At 40.0% G+C, this 26,479-nt stretch overlaps 2 gene segments (V, D, J or C) and 1 further gene, besides 4 other annotated features; 2 read left to right on the top strand and 1 right to left on the bottom strand.

Moving 5' to 3' along the window:
* Positions 1-26,479, bottom strand: part of IGK (immunoglobulin kappa locus) — a 1,378,008-nt gene that overhangs the window by 1,126,280 nt on the left and 225,249 nt on the right.
* Positions 8,755-8,809: a sequence feature (IGKV1-16 leader sequence).
* Positions 8,755-9,230, top strand: IGKV1-16 (immunoglobulin kappa variable 1-16). The segment is given in 2 exon segments: positions 8,755-8,809; positions 8,935-9,230. Coding segments are annotated over 2 exon segments (351 nt in total), but the record flags the coding sequence as incomplete, so codon positions are not given.
* Positions 8,935-8,945: a sequence feature (IGKV1-16 leader sequence).
* Positions 23,399-23,447: a sequence feature (IGKV3-15 leader sequence).
* Positions 23,399-23,912, top strand: IGKV3-15 (immunoglobulin kappa variable 3-15). The segment is given in 2 exon segments: positions 23,399-23,447; positions 23,617-23,912. Coding segments are annotated over 2 exon segments (345 nt in total), but the record flags the coding sequence as incomplete, so codon positions are not given.
* Positions 23,617-23,717: a sequence feature (IGKV3-15 leader sequence).

The following is a 26,479-nucleotide window of genomic DNA, read 5'->3' as shown; positions in this document are numbered from 1 at the left end:
CCCATTCAGTGTAACAACTTTGTATTTAAGGCTGGTTCACACCAAACCAAAACTAATATGCTTTCTGTATTTTATTTTGATGAGTAGTTACTGGTTTACATGCAGCTGGGTTAGTTTAGGTATATAAAAACTGTTTCAGTCCCTTCCCCCACCTTCACACTTCCACTGTTTCTTAGCACCTGTCTTTCTGCTGGAAAGGGGCTGGAAAGACCCTTTTTAATACCATTGTTTCAGAGAGTAGCCAGGTAAAACTATTGGCATTCTTGGCTTTTGGCTACTAAATAGATTTCATTAAATCTACTTAAAAACTAAAGTAGGCTAGGCATGGTAGCTCATCCCTATAATCCCATCTTGGGGCGCCGAGATGGGTGGATCACCGGAGGTCAGGAGTTTGAGACCAGCCTGGCCAACATGGTGAAACCCCGTCTCTACTAAAAATATAAAAACTAGCCTGGCATGGTGGTGGGTGCCTGTAATCCCAGCTGCTCGGGAGGCTGAGGCAGGAGAATTGCTTGAACCCAGGAGACAGAGGTTGCAGTGGGCCGACATGATGCCATTGCACTCCAGCCTCAGCGACAGAGTGAGACTCCGTCACAAAAAAAAAAAAAAGTCATGTGTCAAATGTCTGATCAGTCAGACACAGCACGATGAAGTAGATGTAGGAGAGATTTCACACTCAGTACGAGTACCCTGATATTTGAGGAAACTAAAGATGCCAGAACACCCTAGCAGAAACCTGTCTCCAGTGAGTCATGGCATTGTGTGATCTACCTCCACAGAGAACAGGTAGAACTTAGGCTTGCTTCTAACCCATATGGTATGGCAGAGGTTATGAGATGTCTTTCCAATGATTGTATTGTATTCTGTAAGCCTCTGTCATAGCAGACTGGAAAGAGACACTCTCTGAAACCTTCTGCTGGCCTTGAACAAACAACCAGCCATGTGGGCATTGCCTGTGTGAGCATCACATGGCAGGGAATTGTCCACAGCCTCTGGGACCTGAGAGCAGCCTTGAGCCAAGAGCCAGTAAGAAGCTGAAGCCCTGAGTCACAGAGGTGCTAAGGCATGGGCTCTGCAACTACCTGAAAGAGCTCTAAAATATCTCTCTTCTCAGGGAGTCTCAGGTGAGAATGAAGAACAGTCTACACTGTGGCACAGTCTTGTGAAATCCAATGGGCAGGATCCAGCAAAGCCATGTGCTGACTGCTGACTCAGAAATTGAGAGATTATAAATGGGTGTAGTCTTAAGTTGATAAATTTGCAGGTAATTTCTTACATGTTTATAACAAACTGAACACACATTTTAAGAACAAATAATAGACCTAAGAGCAGCCATGCCACTGACATTGAATGGAGATGGGCACAGGCTTATTCTCATTGTGACCTTAGGGTTTCCAAGCACTGTGAAAGAGAGGAAAGCTTCGATGTGCAAGCCCTTTCCAATATTCCAATTCTGTCACATCTGCTATTATCCTATTGGCCTGAGCAAGACACATGGGTAACACCTGAGTCCATTTAGAATGAGGCCAACCAAAGGATGAGTGCAGGGAAGGGATTTATTGTAGCTAATTGTGCAAGTAGTTTATCCATAATTTATAAATTTTTTCCTGAGAAATACCCTGAGAAAAGGGAAACCTCTTTAAAAGTCTTAAAGTTTTTAGGTTATAGCTTCATTGATTATAGTGTTCTGCTTGATATCCAAGTATAAATAACCGAGAACTCCTTCACACTATTTTTTCTATGATGGTTTATTTTCCCCATACCTTTACAGGTAATTTTGGTCCTGTAGTGTGCTGTCCAAGTTTACTCTGCAGAGCTGACCATTTGCACAATGTAGCTGACACATCATCGCACCTTGAATGCGGACATTGACTGGTGACCTATGAGAATCCGCTTCAAAAGAATGTATTTGTCACCGCTTTGATCTTTATCCTATCTGAATCCACACACTTCTGTATTGTTCTATGGCTAATCCATATCCTGTCTCTATTAACTCACTCTTGCCATAAGTGACTAAGAGCATCTAACACAGAAATAATAAATACTTCCAGTTCTGAAAATTCAAATTAGTTGAAAAGCATGGGGACATTATAGAAAGAAAATGTATAACTATTTTAAAGACAAAGAAAATGAAGTCTTTGTATTTTGGAATGAAACTGTGTGAAAACTATCTGCAGGTTTCAGCACCAGGGAGGGCCCCTGTCTTTCCTGTGACTGAGCACATTGCCTTTCTCACACCTGCAGGCAACCAGGGAAGTGACTGGATGGGGTGAGCTGAGCTGCACTGTTGGGCCACCCTGGGGAGACTTTGGTAATATATGATGCATTTCAGATGATAACAATAACTGATGACAGCAGTTCAGCTTCTTCATTACCAATGTTCTGTGTGGAATTTCCCCCAAACAACCTACAATGAATAGACGAACTCCTGAGTTGATCTAGAAACGAACTGAATAGAGGTTGGGGAACAGGCCCCATCTCCCTGACCTATGTAAACCGAAACCAAATGTTGTCCAACCTGCACATCAAATCAGCTTCCAGATAGGTTAAACAAGTCATATCAGACCATCTAGTCACAACTGAACCACAGGGTAACTGCAGACACATGAGCAGGCTCAGCAGAGATCAGTTCAGCCAGCCCAGAATGGAGGAACCACAGAGTTGATCCTCAGAGTTATAAGGAGCAGTATAGTCATCTCTCTATCCATGGGATCTGCATCCATGGATTCAACTAAACCTGGATCAAAAATATATAGAAAAAAAATCCACAAAGTTCCAAAAAGAAAAACTTGACTTCACCATGTGCTTAGTACCACTTGGTTGAATCCACACAGGTTAAGTCATGTATACATATCGCGTCAGGTATTATAAGTAGGCTAGAGATGGTGTGAAGGGTACATGAGTATATGTGCACAATCTATTACTAATGGGGGAAGAAAAATGACATAAAACAAGGTAAAATTTTATATTTATTTTAAATGGTAATATTATGACACCAACATACTGTGAGAAGCTATGGATATAAAGGAAATACCATGACAACCAATTTAAAAATCACTATAAAAAGAGATACCCTCAAATTAGGTAAAATTAAAATGAAATTCTAAAAATGTTCAAGTAACCCAAAGGAAGGCAGCAAAAAGAAAACGGAGAAGCAAAAAAAGATACAGCAAAAAAGTAGAGCAAAGACTTAAATCTTAGTATATCAATAATTATCGATATATTAAATATGCAAATTAGTAAATTATAACAGACAGCAATTGATGAATCAAAAAGGAATGTCCGAACAGTATACTGTCTATAAGACACTCACATCAAATATGACACTAGAAGTAGACTCAATATAAAAGAAAAGAAAATGGCATAGTATGCAAAATTAATAAAATGAATCAGTAGCAAATACTAATATCAGATAAAGTAGACTACAAAGCCAAGAATGTTACCAGTGACAGAAATGTACATTACATAATGAAGAAAGTCATTTCGGAAAGAAGACAGAGCAGTTCTAAGTGCGTAGACACCAAGCAACAGAGCGATACAGTGCATGTAGCAGAAACTGGTGTGAAATGAAGGAGGCCTTCATTTTCTATTTGGGAAGCAAATGCTCTCTAAGTATAGCAGGACATTCTGGGATATTTTTTAAGCAAAGTACCCCCGTGGTCATATTTTTTTTTGTAGCAGAGTAACCCGTTCCCTCTTCAAACCACATCCCTCTCCATTGTCCCAGCTCCTCTCTGACTGCAAGCCTCCTCTTTTATTTTAAGGACCTTTGTGATCATATTGGTTTCATCTAGATAACTGGGTCGCTTATTCTTCACTTATATCTGTCAAGTTCTCTTTTTGCTATGTAAGGTAGAATTTTTATGATACGGCTCCGTTGACTGGAGGAACACCAGGGTTCTTGGTCTCACACCACTTTGGATAAAACAACACAGACACACGTGGAGTGGTTTTAGGGAGAGAAAGGTTTAATATGCAAGAAGGAAGGAAGAAGAAAACAGCTCCCCCACACAGAGACAGAGGGAGGAGGGATTCCAACAAAGACAAAACTCCATTGCAGCAGAAAAGTGGCTCTTATATGAGGAGGCTGGAGGAGGTGGTGTCTGATTTATATAGGGCTCTAGGGACTGGTTTGACCAGGCATGCCATTCATGAAGCCTGCAAAATAACTGGCCTTCCCAACAAGACTTTTAATATGCAAATGCAGGGTGCCAAAATATTCTCTACACATGGGGATATGTGGGGGCAGCCTTGTTGTCAGGCACATGTGGGGGCAAGGAAGAAGATGGTGGGAATTGACAGGTTTGGCTGGACTCAGTTTCTAATGGCCGGAATTTGCAAATCAAAGCTTCCCAGCCTGGCTCTAAGAGCCAGGGCTTTCCTGCTAGACAAGAAACGTTTCTGGAGCTGCTTTAAAGGAAAGAAAACCTTACCAAGGACACTCTTTTCCTATCTGCCTAAAATAATTTCTTAATAACTCCTGTAACACTTGGGTTCCAGAGATGAGGACATGGACATCTTTTAGGGTAGAGACATTATTCATCCCATTGACAATAAATATATTCCCCCAAATTGCCTTTCTCTAAAGTAAAATTTTAAAAATCACGAAGTATTTTTTATGAAGCAAGAGAGCTGGCCAAAATCTTAGACTCAGGTTCCTTTAAATTGTGAGCTTTAACTGTTAAGGTATGATCATTCCACTGTCTCTAATGTAGATTTATTGATGTGTAGATTGTTTTAGAGGATTTTTAAGTTTGTGACCAGTATAAACAAAACAGTATCTGAGACGGGTCTCAATCAATTTATAGGTTTATTTTCCCAAAGCTTATGGCCTGTGACACAGCCTTAGGATGTCCTGCAAACATGTGCCCAGGGTGACAAGAATACACATTTAAATACTTTGGAGAGACAGAAATTACAGGGAAAGACATAAATCAATACATATAAGATTTACATTAGTTTGTCCTGGAAAGGTGGGATAGCTTGAAGTAGGGGCTTCCAGGTCATAGGTGGATTCAAAGATTTCCTGACTGCCAACTGGTTGAAAGAGTTAAGCTCTGCCTAAACACTTGAATTCATCATAAAGAAATGCTTGAGTTTAGAAAAGGGGGTGTGGAAGCAAAGGTTCTTGTCACCTAGATGAATCCTATGGGTAGCAAACAAAGTAGGTGGCTAATGTTGTTTATCAGACCTTAAAAAAAATGTCAGACTCTTTGGAAAAGACTTAGTAAGGGGAGGAGATTCTCTGCAGAATGCAAATTTCCCCCACAACAGGCAGCTTGCAGGGCCACTTCAGAATATGTCAAAGAAATACTTTTAGGGTAAAATATTTTGATTTTCTTCAGGGCCTATTATCTGTCGTGTTGGAGTATGGTATCTTATTGCTACAAAGCATCTGTTTTGTCAATCCAAAGATCTCTGTTGTAATGATAATGCTGGTCAGTTGTGTCTGAACTCCAAAGGAAGGACCATATAATGAGGTACATCTAAACCCACCTGCCAGTCATGGCCTAACCTAGTTTTTCAGATTTCTTTGAAGTTCTCTCTACCAAAAGAGGAGTCCGTTCAGCTGGTTAGTGGCTTACAACGTAATTTTTTGTTTTAACACACACACACAAAAAATCACCGCATAAATTCAATCTAAAATAGATTGGTTAAAAAAAAAATTGTGTGTTTCCTGAATATTCCTACATGTCAAAGAAAGGGAAATGATAAAAGAATTCAGATGAGAAATACCCCTCATACAAAAGATTAATGATTTTATTTACTATCTTAGTTTGGGTCCACCAGCAATGAGGATTCCTGTTTAGGCAGCAAATTTACACTGGGAGGAAAGGAAGAAAGTGAGGGAGGGAACAGAAGATGAATGGTAAAAGACACATCAACAACCCACCTGACTCAGGATAACTGAAGATCAACCACATGTGGAAACATGGACTAAATTCCTCTGGGCTATTCCACCTGAGAGACGAGGAAGCTAAGGTATGTATACACCTCATTCTGTCCTCACTGATTGTGAGCTGTCTCTCTTGTTCTCTTTCAAGCTGCTATAACAGGTTAGGTTCCTTGACACTGTGTAATTCATAAAGAACAGAAATTTATTTTCTCACATTTCTGGAGAATGGGAAATTTAAGATCAAGGCATGGGCAGGTTAAGGTCGTCTTTCTCTGCTTTCAAGATGACGCCTGGAGCTTTCAGTCCTTCAAAGGAACGAAGGCCATGTCTTAACATGACAGACCAGCAGAAGAGACAGAGAGATTCCAGCCCCATAAACCCTGTTTATAGTGGCATTAAGGTATTCCACTAGAGGGCTCCACCCTCATGATCTAACACATCTCAATAGGCCCCACCTGGCAATACCATTTCACTGAGATTTAACTTTACAACGATGGATTCTGGAGGACACAGTCAAACCATAGCACTTTCCTAAGAGATACACATTGCAGGCCATCTGGCCAGCAAGGCATGCAAGCAGACCTCTCTGCCCAAGATCATGAAGCACATAAGACATATATATAGCCATTGGAAATGAGCAGAGATACAGCAAAGGGAAAAGCCCTAGACTATAGATGGGGACTGCTACATTCATCATGGTACAGTTAACCCTTGAATAACTTGGGTTTGAAATTTGCAGATCCACTTATATTTTCTTCTGTGTGTCACCTGTGAGCAAGCGCTTAATAAGTACTAAATATATTTTCTCATTTTTAAGGTTTTCTCAATAACATTTTTTCTTTAGCATACTTTATTGGAAGAATAGAGTATATAATATGTATAACATAAAAAAGGGTTAATCAACTATTTATTTTATCATTAAGGCTTCCAGTCAAAAGTAATCTATTACTACATAACTTGGAGATGCAAAAGTTCTACACAGGTTTTCATCTGCACCAGTGGTCAGTGCCCCAACCTCCACGTTGTTGAGGGGACAACTGCTCTTTCAGTCTGTAGCCACATCTCTCTGGAACAGGATCTTGGCAGGTGGGTTGCAAGTAAAGGAATCCAGAAAATAACATCTCAAACTGTGCTGCATTTGTATGATGATTATATAAAACCAAAGGCATTTAGAAAGCAGGAAATGCACAGGGGGCTTTTCCTAAATATCCCCTACCTGCCTAAAAGCAAATTCTTCAGAAGGAAACCAATTTTTAAGAAAACTCTTCCTGAGAATTTTTATATCAAGGAAGATTAACACAAAAGAGGAATCAAAAATGGAAGAGACTCAAAGTTGATACTTTACCTAGGGAGGTGATTACCTGTTCTTTTGAGGATGCATTTCTATTCTCATCTATTCTCTCCAGGTTGCCTACATTTCCCAATTACCTCTTCCCTAGAAAGGAAACATAAACACCTGGATCTCATTGAGTTATCTGGGTAATCACCTTGCTATGATATCCTGCTGCACTTTAAGTGAATTTTGTTTGCCTTTTCTCTTATTAATCTTCCTTTTGTCAGTTTATTTTCAGCAAACATTTAGAGGACAAATGGAGCTTTCTTCCTTTCTTCCAATATAAGCAATTTCCCTTAAAATTCAGGCAGCTTATAAAGCAGCAGGAAGGTTTGTGCAGAGGCTACAGCACTGTGATTTGGCTCTCCTAGTCAGGCATCAGTAAAATTTTATGGAGTCCTAGGCTGCAGCCCACTGATGCTGATGTAGTTGGATCCACTTCCCCTCCCACGGAACCAGGCCGGGACATTTTTGGGCACATTAGAGATATGAGATATAACGAGTGCAAATCCCTGTCCAGTTTCATCTGGAACCAACTGATTTCTCCATGTACCTGGGCAGTTGCTTGATAAAAGATTGAGTGCCTCTTTCCAAAAGATGTTAACAGGGATCTTGGTGTCTGGGTCAGGATGATGTCCCTGATAAAAAGTAAAAGAAGAAAGTGTCACCTATGGTGCATGGCAGGGACATGCTCCATGCAGTGATCACCCTCACTAAGAGAGATGAATGTTGGGAAATAATACTTAATGGCAGAAAAGAAGGTAGACTATGAAGGTGCCCAAAACAGGAATAAGGTGCAAAACAGGAATAAGGTGCAGCCCATTTAGTCTCTGGATATTAAAGAGACCTAGAGCTCTTGATAATGGTGGATCTGTAATTGCTGCATGCATTGAGGAAACACGGTATCAACTTAGTGTATCTGAAGTAAATTGCTTGATCTTACAGTGGTAAGAACAATGGCATAACACCATTACCTAACATTTACAAATATATGTAGCATCATGTGAATAAATTTTATTTTTAATTTTTTTTTAGAAAGGAGCAATGTTAAACTCACAGAAATGTTGCAAGTATATGATAAGTACCACCTTCCCTAACAGAAATCACATGAGAGTCTTTTGAAGACCTGAAAATTGTAGGGTCTAAAATTTTACTATGTGTTTCCTACAAAAAAGAATATTCTCCTAAATAATCCCCATACACCAATGAAATACATTGCTCCATCGACTCCCAAGGAATATTTCAAATTGTCAAAAAGAAACCATAAAATGTTTCCCATAACAAAATAGTCCCCAGTAGAAACACATTCTCTGCAGACAAATTTGAGCTACCTTGATCTTACCTGGGACACGTGGGGACACTGAGCTGGTGCTGAGTTACTGAGATGCGCCAGCTCTGCAGCTGTGCCCAGCCTGCCCCATCCCCTGCTCATTTGCATGTTCCCAGAGCACAACCTCCTGCCCTGAAGCCTTATTAATAGGCTGGTCAGACTTTGTGCAGGAATCAGACCCAGTCAGGACACAGCATGGACATGAGAGTCCTCGCTCAGCTCCTGGGGCTCCTGCTGCTCTGTTTCCCAGGTAAGGATGGAGAACACTAGCAGTTTACTCAGCCCAGGGTGCTCAGTACTGCTTTACTATTCAGGGAAATTCTCTTACAACATGATTAATTGTGTGGACATTTGTTTTTATGTTTCCAATCTCAGGTGCCAGATGTGACATCCAGATGACCCAGTCTCCATCCTCACTGTCTGCATCTGTAGGAGACAGAGTCACCATCACTTGTCGGGCGAGTCAGGGCATTAGCAATTATTTAGCCTGGTTTCAGCAGAAACCAGGGAAAGCCCCTAAGTCCCTGATCTATGCTGCATCCAGTTTGCAAAGTGGGGTCCCATCAAAGTTCAGCGGCAGTGGATCTGGGACAGATTTCACTCTCACCATCAGCAGCCTGCAGCCTGAAGATTTTGCAACTTATTACTGCCAACAGTATAATAGTTACCCTCCCACAGTGTTACACACCCAAACATAAACCCCCAGGGAAGCAGATGTGTGAGGCTGGGCTGCCCCAGCAGCTTCTCCTGATGCCTCCATCAGCTGAGAGTGTTCCTCAGATGCAGCCACGCTCTGATGGTGTTGGTAGATGGGGACATGAAGTCACCTCTGCACCCTAATTCTTTTCTCTTTCTCAGCACCAACTGCACAGACATAGCAATGCTTCTCCTTATTTAATAAAAACAGAGATCATGACACCTGAGGAGTCTAGTTTATGGCTTCAGTTGGAAATCATAATGCAGAAGAAGCCACTATAGATATTCTAAGCAGGAATAGTCTTAATACAGAGAATTAGAATAAACTGCTGAAGTCTAAATAAAATGTAGAGATGAATCTCTAAATTTAATGTTTTATTTGAAGAGAAATATTTGCCAAATGAGGCATACAGGAAAACTCAGTGGTCTTCAGTACGTTGGAAGAACAAAGAAAAAGTCAGTGTTCCATGAAAAAGGGAAATATTACCTATTGCACTTTGAGAAAGTTCATTGGCACTAGGAAGGGTTGGGAGCTGGCAAGCTCAGACTGGTAAACAGTGGTGGACAAAGTGAATCCTAGAGTTATATCAAGTTATCTCAGAAATTGTGGATAAATTTGATTTCAGGTTACAATAAGCCAAAGCACTGAAGGTTGCAGAGAATTTTCTTACTGAAATACCAGGGACTTGGTGTAGATCCTGCAGCTCACCACACAGAAAGCCAATCTCGAAGACAACAAGTATTGCCAAGGAACAGGCTTTAATCAGGTGCTGCAGCCGAGGAGATGGGACGCCATTCTCAATTGTATCTCTCTGACAAAATTAATTAGGGGTTTATATAGGAGGGAAGAAATGTTGAAAACAGGAATTAGGGAGGGGTAAGGAAGATAATTTGGTCAAGAAGAAGCAGGAGGTCAGTTATGCAATCACAGTGGGTGAAGGTTCTGATGTCTCACTGTCCCAATTCAGTGATATGTAAGTTTCAGCTTCTTAATAGTATCTGGGAGGCCTGATGGTTGGTTTACTGAAAAAAAGGACTCAGGTAAGACAGATGTAACTATCTTGAGTTTTAAGACAGGGAGGGGGAGACAATTTCTAAGTTTATTCAAAAAACCATAAACCTTAGTTCCATGGGATAACAGGGCCTATTTCAATTGCATTCCAGCAGCAATATTTTGCACCCTGAGTGCCTTTCCCCACTAGGTTTCTTGGCTCTGTTGGGTATAACAAGAATGAACCAATGCCTATGATTAACGTTCAGACTACAGCCTTTCAAAGACAAGGATACAGTAGTCAGGAAAGTTGATATTAGAGGCAGGATTCTCTGGTTCTCCCTCAGAAAACAGAATGCATCCGCCCCTAAAGTAAGGGCTTTCTAACCATGTGGTCCTCAGTCCTGTCTGGAAGCTTAGGGGTAGGCGTGCTGATGCTCTTAGCTTCCTGCAACATCCTTCCAGGTGTTTCTCCAGTCCTCACCTCTGTCCTTGTACCTGTCTTAGTTACCAATGGATAATATTGAGTCTTCCTTTTCTGATTTCCAAATCTCACGGGAGGAACTCTTATTGGGCAACTCTATAGGACACAAGCACAGCAAAAAGGGATATTTACATAAGTTAAAATGATTTTTACCCCAATGAGTCCATTTAAATAAATTATATTTGAAGCCACATGTTGGAAACACATCCAGCTTTATTTTCTTATTAATGCAAATTTACATTTGCAAATATTTTCAGGATTGTAAAGTTTGAAAACATAATTATTTGTTCATGGAATGATCAAACCCTTCTATAATTAAATGGAGTAAACATTTTCTTGAAAATGTGTACTCACTGAAATAAAGGAATATATTTAAAATGTGTGAAGCTATGTTAGAAATTATTGGACTTAAATTCAACTGTGCAGTTTGATTTGGGATGTTGTTCACTCCTGTGACCTGCCACAAGAATCTTGTGTCATGTGTAGTCACTGCTGTTCAGCCTTGTCCTCAGACAATTCATATCTGTAGGCTGAAGGTGAGCTCAGTGCCCTGCAGAGGAACGACTCATCAGAGCCCTTCCTTGGTCAGCCAGAGGATTGTGAACGTGAGCATCCATGAACACGAAAACAAATGTTTACTGTTTTCTGTCACTGAGTTGTGTATTTAACCAGTAACCAATCATTATGCATAAAGGCTTCCTGATACGGTATTTACACCTCTACGTGTATATAAACATATGTATTTTTTTCTTAAATTGGTGGTATAAATGTGAATATTTAGTGATCAATTTATGAAGTTATTAAGAGAAAATTAAGAACAGAATTAAAACTAGTATTTCAATAAAAAATTAAAATTTACCTTATTTATGGAAAAATGTGCATATATATAAGATACATAGAAGTGAATATATATTTGTTTGATAAAATGTTGGCTACAAATATATATAGTATTCATATTTAAGCACATTTATTCTATTATGTATGCAATACTCTTGCTACAGAAAATTTATTTGTAGCCTTTATTTTTAAAACTTTACCAAATGGTTGTCCTTACCTAAAATATTTTTCCAACCCAGTAGAGCTCCGAGGGTAGGACTAGAGCAAATTTTGACTAATGTTGAATATTAACCATTGCATCCTATGAAAGTCTCCATTATGTTCATGCCCACAATGATGATAGGCCAAATAGAGTTCTCACAACAATGCACGCTGGATAGAGTCACATTAGTGTCATTGTCAAAGAAGCACTGGAAATGTAAAAATCCTAACCGTGGGTAAACTGCAATGGTTACATCTGATGATCCCATTGCAAGATAACAGCAGTTTAATAAATATTGGCTGTTGGTTTTGACAGATCATCAAGTCTTAAAATAAATGCAACAGGCTGATTTCAGACAAAGTCATTCTGCAAAAGCTATGACCAGACATTTCAAAAATGAGCCATAATAAAAAAAATGCTTTCCAAGTGAATATTAAGTGAAATGCCATTAACAAGCAGGGGCTTTTAATAATCAGGATGATTCAACACATGGACTTCAGTCAATCACCTTTCCCAGCTTCCCCAGGTAGCCTCATGAACCAATGTTAATAAGGTCCCTGTGGGGACTCAGTAATGTGAGTTTCAACTAACTGAGATGTACAGGGCTATTGGCTCTTCTGAACACCTAATTTGCCAAGAAAACTGATGCCTCTTGAACCCTTAACATTGTACCACACATCAGGGCTCAGACTAACAGCTGGTGTCAGGTGATTCTAGTGGACCTCATGCAACATGAGGAAGGCACTGGTTATTTGCAATATATGAATTTGCCTTCTTTTTCGGTTATGTTTCTGCATAAAATATTATTTGAGGATTTTCCAAGTGTTTTCATCAGAGTCAGGAATTTCTTCCATAATATGGCTTTGGATCAAGCAGTTTATTGACCTCAAAAAAAGTGAAGCAAAGTGTAGCTCATGATCTTGTCATGTGCACAGGTGCAGCTTACCCTATAGACAAAGAAAAACCCATTATTAGTCAAGCAACGCTGGCACACAAACTCTTGTGCTATTGCATTGTTATGCTGTCAGATGTGGTGGAGGCTCTGAAACACTGTTACTCTCATAAACAGAATATTTATATATTGAAAATGAGCTGTAGACTCATCATTGCTATGCCCACTGAACAGCTTGAAATACTCTATTTCTATTTTCTCAGGGCTGTGGTTTTCTGGCTGATGGTTCTTAATCCAAACAGTTGACATGACAATTATTGCATGAAATTGGAAGAAATGATATGATAAGCATGTGACCATTCAGACTCAATACAATACTGGATAAGTTGTCAACACAGGGCGTTCAGATGTGTGCTGGGGCCATAGATCTAGCCCATATAAAGCAAGAGCAAACATAATTGACTTTACATATTTTAGAGAGGAAGTACAGAAAATATGGACCCTAGGGGACCTTCTGGAATCTTTCTATTTATTGCCATTTCCACTGGTAAAACTCAGAGAAGATTTCAACAGTCATCAGGATGAAGTTCTAGGGATCACAGTCATGTGAAGCATTACTTGCACTTGGATCTCCAGTGAGGCAAAGGGAAGATGAAACACATCGTGGGATGTGGAGGGGTAAACACCAGAGACAGACACCTGGTCAGCTTCAACGTTGAAAAGTGTATTTATTTTTTCTCTTTAGTTTTATCACTGAATCATTTGGACCTAAGAAAAGCGATTATGGCTGGTTAGGCAGAAAGGTGTTTATTATCATGAATTAAATGGATTGAAAACATTTGGGGAAACCAGAGTGGAAGCTCAGGCAACTCCAAGTACTCCTTTTGCTATTGCTTGACCCTCCTCGCCTCCATATTTTCCACAGTCAAGAAAGATACTCCCATTTTATAGGAACCTGGCAAGTGAAGATATTGTGCCCACAGGACTGTGCTGCCTGGCTGTGACTCAGACCAGGAAAATGAGCACATTTGAGTGAGATCAGGCATTTCCCCTCCCTCATCTCAATCCAAAACGACTCTGTAGTAACACATCTGATGGGCAGTCAGAGAAAGGGGTCAGATTTCTAGCAGTTGATAGTTGATACCAGAGCTGCTGTCCTTCTGGGGGCAGTAGTGAGAAGAGCTGCTCTCTCTTCTGCTGCAAGAGACAGCTTGAATGTGGAGTCTCAGGCGCAGGAGATGCTCCCCCGACCTGTGCCAGCAGTACGATTCTTGGAATTGTTCTAGAGGCTTTGACTGGAGCCTGTTTTTTAAGGCTTTTCAACAATTTGTAAGGAATTTAATAACCTCTAGTAAATCCCTTTTTGCTTCATGGATTTGACATTTGCAACAGGGAATATACGCAGTCCGCAGTGACATCATTCACAGCCTCCTTTATTCTTGCTAAATATAATGCTTTCCAGGTGGACCTGCCAGAGGAAGCCGATATGAACAACAATCCATGTCACCAAAAATGCAAGACAAATAAGCTCGGGAAAGCCACTGGATTCTTACCTAGCTGCACTGTCCCCCTGAGTCTTTTTTTTTTTTTTTTTTTTTTTTTTTTTGGTCACCTTAGTCAAAAGCATGAACAAATTTGACAACTTTGAATGGAGCCCTTTGCAACGGTAGCCTTCGAATCTATTCAACAATACATGTCCAAGGCATTTCTTTAAGACCTTTAGAGCCTGCTTGCTCGATGTAAATCCAGGTGTCCACTATTTCTAGGCATGCTGACTGGAGTCTGTGGCAATGTAAAATTGTCACTGGGTGCACCAGACTTAGATTTTGGAGGCAAATGTTTCCTGAAGCAGCCACCATTTGTGCCTCTTTTGAATGGCAACTCCTTACTTGCTGTAGGAAACTGATAGGGCCTGAGTATCTCAGAGCTAGAGGACCAGGAGTGACACTGCTACCTTAACTACAGATTCTCACTTTGGTGCCTACAAACACAATCAATAAAACTGGACAGGCCCAACAGATCCAAATTACTAAATGGAAATGTTACAGTAAGAATCAGCCCTAACCAGGATGCCACAATACCCATGTGCCCCATAAACAAATGACAAGCTTGCAAGAAGGGAACAAATGACCCACAGGGGACAATTCAGCTTCTCCTTTGGCCACATAGAGTCAAAGATTCAAAGACATGCCTATGTCAATATGGCATGGGGCCCTGATGATTGTACAAAACACATGCCAGTGGGTCCACTGGGTGTGGCCACCATCCAGCCAGGGGATGGCATCTTTTGATTGACACTAAACATGGCCATTCTGCCCAATGGGCCAAACTACATACAATGATAGCAGCCATGCAGGCTGCCCCTAACACTATATTTTGCTCCATTTCCATTAAATCATGGGCCACTTTCAACAACCCAGTCATCTGGTCAGGAAAACAGCAACTGAGTGACTGAACTACTAAAGGATCCCCTGTGTGGAGAAAAGGACTATGGCAATAGCTTGCTTCCTGGACTGCTAAATATATGTCACTCTATTAGATGCTCGGGCTACCATGGCCACCCTTGAGAGGAATTTATGTCATATTTTGGATACTCCATGAGACTTCACTCTGACCAAGAAACAACCTCACTGCCCAATCAGCGTGACAATGGGCACATTCTCGTGGAACATAACGGATGTTCCATGTAATTACCAACACCCAACACTGCCTTCTGTACCTGGATAAACACCTCAGGTATCCTAGAAATATAAGTAGAGGTGATCCTGATGCAGGCTCAATGGCTGCAGACAATGGGGCATCTGAAAGATCCCCCTTTCACCTCTTTGGCATCTTAATTTCTTGATCATGGGATCCTAGACTAGGTCACTGCTTTTGGGGGTCTTATCCTCCTGCCAGTGGTAGTAGCCTTCCTTAGACCAGCGAAATGTACTCTCACTATGGCTTAATAATCTGCACTGAGATTGTGTAAATCAAGGTGCTTCGTCAATCTGAAAAGATAAACCTCTGCCTTCAGTTTGGGGGACATTGGTGGGTGTAGGAAATATGCTAGCTTTACTAAGGGGGATGTCTAGGTGGTGGGGTAACTGCAAGACAGTTCTCCAATGACCCTGGGCTGACTTAGTTCTCTCCACTTTCTTGATTATTTTAAGAGTTCTCAAGAATAATTGTAGAATGTGCTGGAATTGTAACATCCTGAGATAGAGAGGAACTGGCCAGAACAGCCTACCTGTGCTGTATTCCAGTTTCTCATAGAATGGAATGTCCTTAAGCACGTTAGCCCTGTGCGTCTCATTACCCCAGGATATAAAACCCAGAGTGTCTGCTTTTCCGGATTCCTGAGCTGTGATGCAAGCGGGGTACACACAGTCGACTCTATCAGCTCCACATAACTTTCGTATGCCTTGGGGGACAGATCCATAATGAGTCCAAGAGTTTTGTGATCCCTTGCTGCTTATCTGTAATAATAAACCCCCTTCATGTAACTTGCTGTGTGGGGGTGTTGTGTTCCTCGCGCTCAGGTACGTTGGTAACCAGTGTACAGTGAACCTGCTTCAAAGATGTCACTGACATAGAGGCAGAACTGGAATGGAGGTTGCTAGGGATAAGGATAGAGGAAACGGGGGGAGTATTGTTTAAGGGGTATAGATATTAGTTTTTATAAGACGAAAAGAATTCTGGAGACAGTATCGGTAATAATAGCAGAACATGTGAATATGCTTAATGCCACTGCACTGCACTTTTAAATATGGTTAAGATAGACAATTTTATGTTCTCTGTATTTTCTACAGTTAAATAATTGACATCTTTATTATAGTATTGTTAGCTCAGAAGACATTGCTTTATTTTGTAATTTTCTTAGCCAATTGTTCATAAATAATCACTTCGTGATGCCACTGTTCACAAATTGTGTGTGTGTGTGTGTGTGTGTGTGTACACATGTGGTTTCCCTATGTTGCCCAGGCTGGTATCAAATTCTTGGCCTTACGTGATCCTTCCTCCTTGGTCTCTCAAAGTGCTGAGATTACAGGTGTGAGCCCGAGCACCCTGCCATAAGAAACAATGTATAAGACATTTCATAGGGGACTTCTTCAAAATATATATTTCATTGCAGCCACATCCAAAGCCAATCTCCTAAGCCATGTTTCTGTACACAAGTGCACTTCTCCCTCTGTGATGTCACATCCCCTCAGCATAAAGTCACACAGACACATAGGAGAACAAGGCTAGGAGTCAACCCAACTTTATGAGTGGAAATCACTGCAAAAATCTGGCATTAATAGGTTTTAGGTGTTGCAGCACTTCTCCACTAGCAAAACACCCTCTGATTTGTCTTCCTGGATTGTTTTCTCAGAGGTTTCCTAATATTTAATGCTAAAGCTGAGATTAGAACCTTTTTATCCCTAGTCTAGCTGAATGCTATTTCACTCAAAATGTATTGTCTTAAGGAGTATGATAATAAATATTGGATAATGCCTGTTACTACTCCCAACATTCCCTTTAGATCTCCTGTTATCATCCTAAATATCATTACTTAGAAAAAGTGTTTAAAAGGGGTTAAGACAATATTGATCCTGTTTTCAATATCCTGATACAAGTCAAGCACCCACAAAAGTCAAGGAAATTGTAAGGAAAACATGACTTAATGATCATTAGCCATTCTGGTCACTGTTGAGTGATGATTAAGAAAAAGTCTTAAAAACAAGTAGCTGAAACATTGAGAACTCTCATCAATTCTGGGCTGAGATGTAAAATGGTATAACCACTTTGGAAAACAGTATGACAGAGTATTAAACACTTACTGTAAGACCCAGTAACTGCACTCCTAGGTATTTGCCTAAAAGAAATAAAGAAATATTCATGCAAAGCCTTGTATAATGCCATTCGTGGTAGCTTTATCCATAATAGCCCAAAGTGGAAACAACCCACATGGTCATCAGCAGGTGATGGGATACATTGTGAAATTACTACATATTTAAATAGTACTCAAAAGTAAAGAGTAACACATCACGAGGACACAAGGCGACATGAATGAGCCTAGGAAACAATTATGCTGCACGAAAGTCACCAGCCACAAAAGAACATGTGCTATATTCCTTTATGTGAAATTCTTAAAAAGATAGTGGAATCTATACTAACAATAAGCTGAATAAGGATGGTCTGTTCTGTGAGGTGGAAGCAAGTTGATTGCTGAAGAGCAGGACAAAACTTTTTGGAGTTACAGAAATGTTGTGTGTATTGATTTTGCTTCCAAGAATGTATTTATTTATTAAACCCAACAGTACACTTAAAATCAGTGTATTTGATTGGAATCTTTTTTTTCAATAAAATTGGTTAACAGTGAATAGTGAATAATTGCAAATCCAATTAAGTAACATTGTCTTCACATCTTTTATTCTTGCAGTGTCCTGGAAGCTATATGAGCCAAAAGTTATTTCTGGGAGATAATCTCAGCCTGACACTAAAGAACTGTGTATCTTCTGGCAAGAGCTCACTTTTCTAGGTATTTTTGGATTTTTCCAAGAATTTAAATATATTTCATAGGTTAAATCAAAATGGTAGGCTTTTAATACACATTTCTTATTTATATCAACTAAAATTCTAAGCAATAAAAAGTCATTAAAAATTGGTAAAGAATTTAAATGTGAAGAAATATTTTTTAAGTTAGGGGAAGAGATCCAACATACCTTATAGTTCATATACATTTTTCAGAAATTAAAATTACCTATCAAGAGTTTTTATAAAAACTGTAACACTTTTTACAATGTGTGTTCACTAAATGTGCAGATATACAGTGGGATTGCATTTTTCTTTTTTTCTTAAGATATTTATTTTTATATTCACAATGGATATCAGCCTTTAATTTCTTTGTTTTGTTATGTGCATATTAATTTTTGGACTACAGGACATTATGACCTCCTATAATAATTCTGAGAGTATTTTTTATTCACTTGAATCTTTGTGTAACTTTGATAAGTACCATGTCACTAACTACCAAATATAAAATTGGAGTTTTCTGTCTGGGTAAATTTTCATTACAGATTTCTTGTTACTTTTGAGGCAAGAGGTAGGCAGGACTCCGCTCAGGACCAGATGTGAGGCTGGCCAAAACAGGAACAGGGTTCTGAAAGGACCTCTCCATAAGACATACCCACCAGTGCCATGAGAGTTTACCATTGCCATAGAAACATCCAGAAGTCACAGCGCTTGCCATGGCAACACCTGGAAATTCCTGCCCCTGCCATAGCAACACCTGGAAGTTGGGGCAACACCACCCATTTTCTAGCTATTTCTGAACAACCTACCCCTTAATTATCACATGATTAAAAGTGGGTATAAATGTGACTGTAAAAATGCCCCTGGCTGCTACTCTCGGCCCTCTGCCTATGAATTACCCCTGCTCCGCAGGAGTAGTCACAGAGCTGTAACACTGCTGCCCCATCAATAAAGCTGTTTTCTTCTATTACTGGCTTACTCTTACATTCCTTCCTGAGCAAAGCTGAGGACTTGCCTTGCATCAATATTGAGCCAGCCACTCACCACTAGAGATGGTGAGAAGCAGCATTTGATGTGGCAGTAAGACAGTGGAAACAGCGGAGAAGCAAGACAGCAAGAGACAGCAAGAGATGGCACTTTATGAGAAGATGGACACAGTGATCAGCAATGGGCAAGACAGCTATTGGAGAAGTGGCAAGACAGCGATCAGTGAGAGAGGATGAGACGGTGATCAGCGCTACAGCGATCAAAGCTACAGTGTCTGTGTGTCTGTGTGACTTTATGCTGAGTTGTTAACATTGCAGAGCTATTAACACTAGCCAAAGGCTGTTTTAAGAACCATCATCTTTCCTGACAGGTGTTGGAGCTCTGGGGATGGGCAAGAGGCCACAGAGCCACTGCTTCATGCAGGCCAGCCGCTCCGTGCTCCAGTTCCCCCATAGGAGCCCAACCCATCCGAGCTGGGAAGCCTGGAGAGATCTTCATGCAGGCCCCATGTCAGACACTGCTTGGCCCCATTTTGGCTCCTGCACACCTGTAAGTGTCCCATCTATCCACCTGCCTATATAGATGATCCAGGAAATAAGGCCTTTGGCTAGATAGTCCATTTGAATTCCCCCATAGCACACCTGACTACATCCTCATTGTTCTTTCTCTTAGTCATTTCTCCTCTAATGCCATTTTATTTATCCATCAGCCATTTTATTTTATTTTCTGCCCCGATATATGTGTTTGCTTTGCAGTTTTTTCTTTGGGTCCCTGCTAATTATGTTTGTGCAATTGTTTAAGGCAGGACACTTGGATGTAAGAATTCTCCTGTTCTGTTGACTCTAAGAAGCCAGAGTCACATTGTTTTATGGCCCCAACCAGGCCTTTGGGGCTCATTGTTGGCCACCCCACTGAGGCTCCAGGATTTTCTGCACTGGTCAGCCCCTGGATACTCCAGGGTTTCCTGGCATTTGGTGTGGGGACACTCATAGGCTGTTACTTGGGTATTCTGGGTTTTCAGCATTTGGTATTTTGGGCCACTATCTGGATGCTCCAGAGTTTTCACCCTTGACATTCCTCCTTGGATTGTGCATTGGAGGCTTGCCCTACAGGAATCTTGGTTTGCCTTTTCTTGTTTTCTGCCCTAAAGTTATCGTTTTCCATTACGGCATTTTGTTTTCTTATTGTCACCTTACTTACACTTTTTCTTCTACACTTTACTTAATAAAAATATTGCTTAAATCCCAGTGCGGTGGCTCACGCCTGTAATCCCAGCACTTTTGGAGGCCAAGATGGACGGATCATTTCAGGTCAGGAAGACCAGCCTGGCCAACACAGTGCAACCCTGTCTCTACTAAAAATACAAAAAAAAAAATGAGCTGGACGTAGTGACACACACCTGTAATCCCAGCTACTTGGGTGGCTGAGGCTTGAGAATCACTGGAACCCAGGAGGTGAATGTTGCAGTGAGCCAAGATTGCACCCACTGCACTCCTGCCTGGGTGACAGAGTGACAGTCTGTCTCAAATAATAAGCAATAGAAATTTAAAAATAAAAAATAAAAATACTGTTTGAGTCATATTTTGTTCACTAACAAATGCTTACAATCCATTTTCATAACGTCTGGCTACCTATATGTATACCTTCTATGCAGGAAGTGGAAATCTGAGATGAGAACAATGATGGCCCAGTCTCTTTCCCTCTTGTTGGACTTAGAAAAACTTCTATGTCCAGTAGAAATCCTTGTTAGACATGGGGACAATGGCGAGCATCACAGAGGACTTACCACTAGGGTGTCTATTAGGCTATTGGAGCAAATTCAAATTCAGCTTAAAGAAAAAGAAACTCATTTTCTATCACAACACTGCTTGGGTTCAACACAAATTAGAAAACCAAGAGACTTGTCTTAAACATGAGTCCATACATTATAACGCTATTTTACATTTAGACTTATTCTGTAAAAAAGAAGAAAAGTTGTCTCTTGTGTACATGCTTGTGTGGCCCTTTACTCCCTCCTGTTATTAGCTGGGTGTGGTGGCACATGCCTGTAATCCCATCTACTTGGGAGGCTAAGGCAGGAGAACCACTTGAACCAGGGAGATGGAGGTTACCGTGAGCCAAGATCGCACCACTGCACTACAGCCTGGGCGACAGAGCAAGATACTGTCAAAAAAAAAAATTGTAGCTTTGAATTTTAAACATCTATTTGACAAGAAATGCATAGTTCCTTCTCTTTAAAATAATGTAATGTTTCTTTCAAGAATAAGCTTGGTTTGATGCCTCTCTCCCCAACATGATAGAAGTGTAGCATAAATCTATGAAAAATTCCATTTCCCTGTGCCTACAACAACTACCTGGGATTGAAAACTTCTTCCCTTGCTCTAGTCCTTTCTTCTACACCTACTTCCACATCATCTGTGACTCAAAACAATACTTGTCAGGAAAGATCCCGGAAAGAGCAAAAAAGACTTCCTTAGAGGTGTCAGAGATTCCTATGCCACTATCTGTCATCTCTAGAAGGGGTTGTGAGTATGAGGAAGAGCAGAGCTTGTAAATTTTCTACTTGCTTTGACTTCCACTGTATTTCCTAACAACAACAACCACAGCAACACCCATAACATCACAGGACAAACTTCTAGTACTTCCAAGGCTTTAGTCTCAGTAAATCTTCTCTACCTCCATCACAGCAGCTAGAAGGTTTGATACTCATACAAATAGTACTGTAGCTTTCTGTTCATAATTGGAAAAATAGACAAGACCCAATGTAATACAGGCTTTCCTTCAGCCAGTTAGCGTTCAGTTTTTGGATCACCATTGCACACATATACCCAGCATATGTCTAATATATATGTAGAAATCCGTGAAGCAAGAGTTATAATAGCTTGTGTTTTCTATTGTATTGTATTTTCCTCTTATATCATCTTCTTCTTCGTTCATTAAAAAAAAACCGTTCAAGTAGGTCTAAATTAATTATTGGATCATAAGTAGATAAAATATTTTATTTCATAACACATTGACCCGATGAATATGTTTCTTTGCCAGACATAGTCCTCATTTCCAAGGTAACAAGCCTGAAAAAATTATACTGGAGCAAGTCAACAGGTAATGATGGTAGCTTTTCCTTATTGTCCTGGGGCAAGAATAAGACAAAAGATAACAGGGTAGAATAAAGATTGTGTAAGAAAGAAGGACAGCAACAGGACATGGGAACCTTTTATAGAGTAACATTTTGATAATGGATGATGAGAATTAATGAGTTAGACAGGGATGGGTGGGAATGATTGAAGGTGTGAGTACTTTAGCACAGATTAAGACCAAATCATTAGGATTTAAAGAGTTGTGTAGAGTTAGTGAAGGAAAAGCCTTAGAATTAAATTTGGCTGTGGATAAAACATTCTTGGATTAGACTGAAGACTCTTTTCTGTGCTAAGTAAGTATATTTATGATAATGATGATGACTGTAGTGCTGAATATTTAATAAATAAAAACAAAATTAATTGCCGCATACATAATGTCCTGAATACTATTGTAAATGTTTTATCTTATTTTCTTTAAACTGTCTACAGCACTATAAGGTAGGTACCAGTATTGTCACAGTTACACAGATATGGAAACCGAGACACAGGGAAGTTAAGTTACTTGATCAATTTCAAGCAATCGGCAAGCCATGGAGCATCTATGTCAGGGCTGCCAGGACATGTGACTGTAAACAGAAGTTTTTCACTTTTTAACTCAAAGAGGGTATGTGGCTGGGTTAATGGAAAGCTTCAGGACCCTCAGAAAACATTACTAACAAGCAAATGAAAGGTGTATCTGGAAGATTAAGTTTTAACAGACTCTTCATTTCCATCGATCCAATAATGCACTTAGGGAGATGACTGGGCATATTGAGGATAGGAAGAGAGAAGTGAAAACACAGCTTTTTATATTGTTCTTAACAGGCTTGTGCCAAACATCTTCTGGGTGGATTTAGGTGATTGAGGAGAAGAAAGACACAGGAGCGAAATTCTCTGAGCACAAGGGAGGAGTTCTACACTCAGACTGAGCCAACAGACTTTTCTGGCCTGACAACCAGGGCGGCGCAGGATGCTCAGTGCAGAGAGGAAGAAGCAGGTGGTCTTTGCAGCTGAAAGCTCAGCTCCCACCCCAGCTGCTTTGCATGTCCCTCCCAGCTGCCCTACCTTCCAGAGCCCATATCAATGCCTGGGTCAGAGCTCTGGGGAGGAACTGCTCAGTTAGGACCCAGACGGAACCATGGAAGCCCCAGCGCAGCTTCTCTTCCTCCTGCTACTCTGGCTCCCAGGTGAGGGGAATATGAGGTGGTTTTGCACATCAGTGAAAACTCCTGCCACCTCTGCTCAGCAAGAAATATAATTAAAATTCAATGTAGATCAACAATTTTGGCTCTACTTAAAGACAGTGGGTTTGATTTTGATTACATGAGTGCATTTCTGTTTTATTTCCAATTTCAGATACCACTGGAGAAATAGTGATGACGCAGTCTCCAGCCACCCTGTCTGTGTCTCCAGGGGAAAGAGCCACCCTCTCCTGCAGGGCCAGTCAGAGTGTTAGCAGCAACTTAGCCTGGTACCAGCAGAAACCTGGCCAGGCTCCCAGGCTCCTCATCTATGGTGCATCCACCAGGGCCACTGGTATCCCAGCCAGGTTCAGTGGCAGTGGGTCTGGGACAGAGTTCACTCTCACCATCAGCAGCCTGCAGTCTGAAGATTTTGCAGTTTATTACTGTCAGCAGTATAATAACTGGCCTCCCACAGTGATTCAACATGAAACAAAAACCTCAAGAAGACCATCAGTGTTTACTAGATTATACCAGCTGCTTCCTTTACAGACAGCTAGTGTGGTGGCCACTCAGTTTTAGCATCTCTGCTCTATTTGGCCATTTTGGAGCTCAAGTTCTCAAGTCCAAAATTACTTATGTTAGTCCATTACATCATACCATTTCAGTGTGGCTATTACATTCATTTAAACGCATTTCAGAAGGCATCTCTGTTTATGGCATCACAAAGAGTTTAATAAATCTGTGCAAGAATAAACAACAAACACACCTATAAATATAAAGTTGAAATATCAAAACTATTTCAGCACTCTGAAAATTGGCAAAGCATAAAATAATTAAGGATGCATATTCTTTATAGAAAAAAAAAGTACTAGTGCTTTGAGTAAGGACAGAAAATGTCTGTAGCCTTTTGCCTGTGACAGCACCCTTCTATTCCCAGCTCAGTCAATATGAATTGCAGAACTGGAGTTTTACCCATGTAAGGATAGCAAATAAAACTGGCAGCTTGCTGCCAAAGTGGGTGGACTTGAGTGAAGCCAAGGAGTGGGAAATAATTCTTCAGTGTTTCCAGCTAAACAGGGAGAACACCATAGGAAATGAACAGAAAAAGCCCACAGCCTTGCTAGTCCAAGATGATGCCTTGTTTGAGGCAAGTAGTACATCTGCTGATAGTAAATAGCAGATTCCTGGATAAGATAGACCCACATTGCTGAAATAATCTCTGCACATATTCCTAGTGACCTAGAAGTTATAGATATGAGTGATGAGAACTAGGAGTTTCCGGTGCAAAGTAAAACCAGAGGGAGGTAAGAACTAGCTGCATTTTGCATGCAGTTTGCTTTTTAAACTACACACAGATGGGTTGACAGAAGATAGATTTATAACCTCCAGATATTTGAGCAAAATGTCTCAGATCATTGGTGACCACTTCGCTATGCAGATACATGTGTAGTTCCTATAAAATCAAACTAAATATTAATATTAAGAACAGAAAGAAGCAGAGATATCTGTGGTCAAACGCCACATGAGATACAGATTTTTCTATATCTTGCATTGAAAATACATTTAATACATCTAATCCACTTAACATTATGCCTCAGCCTATCCTATCCTAAATATGCTCAGAACACTTACATTAGCTTACTGTTGGTCAACATTATCTTACACAAAGCTTATCTTACAATAAAGTGTTGAATACCTCATGTAATTTATTGAATACTATATTGAAAGAGAAAATAGAATAGTTGTGTAAATACTAGAATTTCTATTTCTACTTGAATGCATATCACATTCACACCATCTGAAAGTCAAAACATTATAACTCCAACTGTCATAAGTCAGGTACTATCAGTAAGTTCAGACAAGAAACTAAGAAGAAAATTAAAAAATGATCAGAAAAACAAAACAAATTCCAGGCCTGACATGGTGGCTCAAGCTTGTAATCCCAGTACTTTGGGAGGCTGATGCAGAAGGATTACTTGATGCCAGGAGTTCGAGACCAGGCTGGGTGGGCAAAATAGTGACACTCTTATCTTACAATTAAAAAAAAAAATAACAGAGAGTGGTGGCATGCCCTTATAGTCCCAGCTACTCAGGAGGATGAAGCTGCAGAACCTCTGGACCCCAAGAGGTTGAGGCTGCAGCAAGCTATGGTCACAGCACCACACTCCAGCCTGGGTGAAAAAGTAAGACCCTATTTCTAAAAAAGTTAAAATTAAAATAAAAAAGCCCAAAATCTAAAGACAGCTACTATAATATGCTATCAAAAATGTACAATTTTTAGTTTCACAACTTCTGGAAAAAAGCAGAGAAGTATGAACAATATTAAAGGAATAAAAATAAAGCAGCTACAATAATAACAACAGAAAATAGTCAATGAAAGCTAATTCTAACTTGTCCCAATTATTGGATTTAGCAAAGACTACAAAGCAGTTAATATGCAGATGTTCAAATAATTATGTTTAAATCTATGATCATTGACATAAAAAAGAAAATATTTAAAAAAAAAAAGAAGATTCGGCAAGTAGGGGCTCAAGAAAAGACATGGAAAATATAAAAAATGACCAAATTGGAACTCTAGAAATGAAAAGTACAATAAACCAATTTAAATATTTGTTAGCTAGGTCTAATAGCAAATTGAGATGGCAGAACAATCAGTTAACTTGAAAATAGAGGTATAGAAATTATTGAGTCTAAAGAAAAAGTTTAGAAAAAAAAGAAGACTTCAGAGATTTATAGCTCAGAGTGAAGAATACCAACAAATGTATAATAAGAGTCACAAAGGAGGAGAGAAAGAGAAAGTGGCTGAAGAAATCTTTGGAGAAATAATGACAAAAACTTTTCAAAAGTAATAAAAAATTCTTAGATGAAAAAATTCAATAAAAATCTTTTAGATAATCAATAGGAATTAATAACTGAACACATTATATTAAAATATTGAAAGACAAAGAGAAAATCTTCATTGCATCAAGAATGAAAGCAGATACTATATACAGAAAAACAACAACATAGCCATTGGCTGAGTTTTCATCAGGACC

This window comes from Homo sapiens, chromosome 2, assembly GCF_000001405.40.
Source record: "Homo sapiens chromosome 2, GRCh38.p14 Primary Assembly".
Classification (NCBI taxonomy): Eukaryota; Metazoa; Chordata; class Mammalia; order Primates; family Hominidae; genus Homo; species Homo sapiens.
This window is presented reverse-complemented; position numbering and strand designations above follow the sequence as displayed.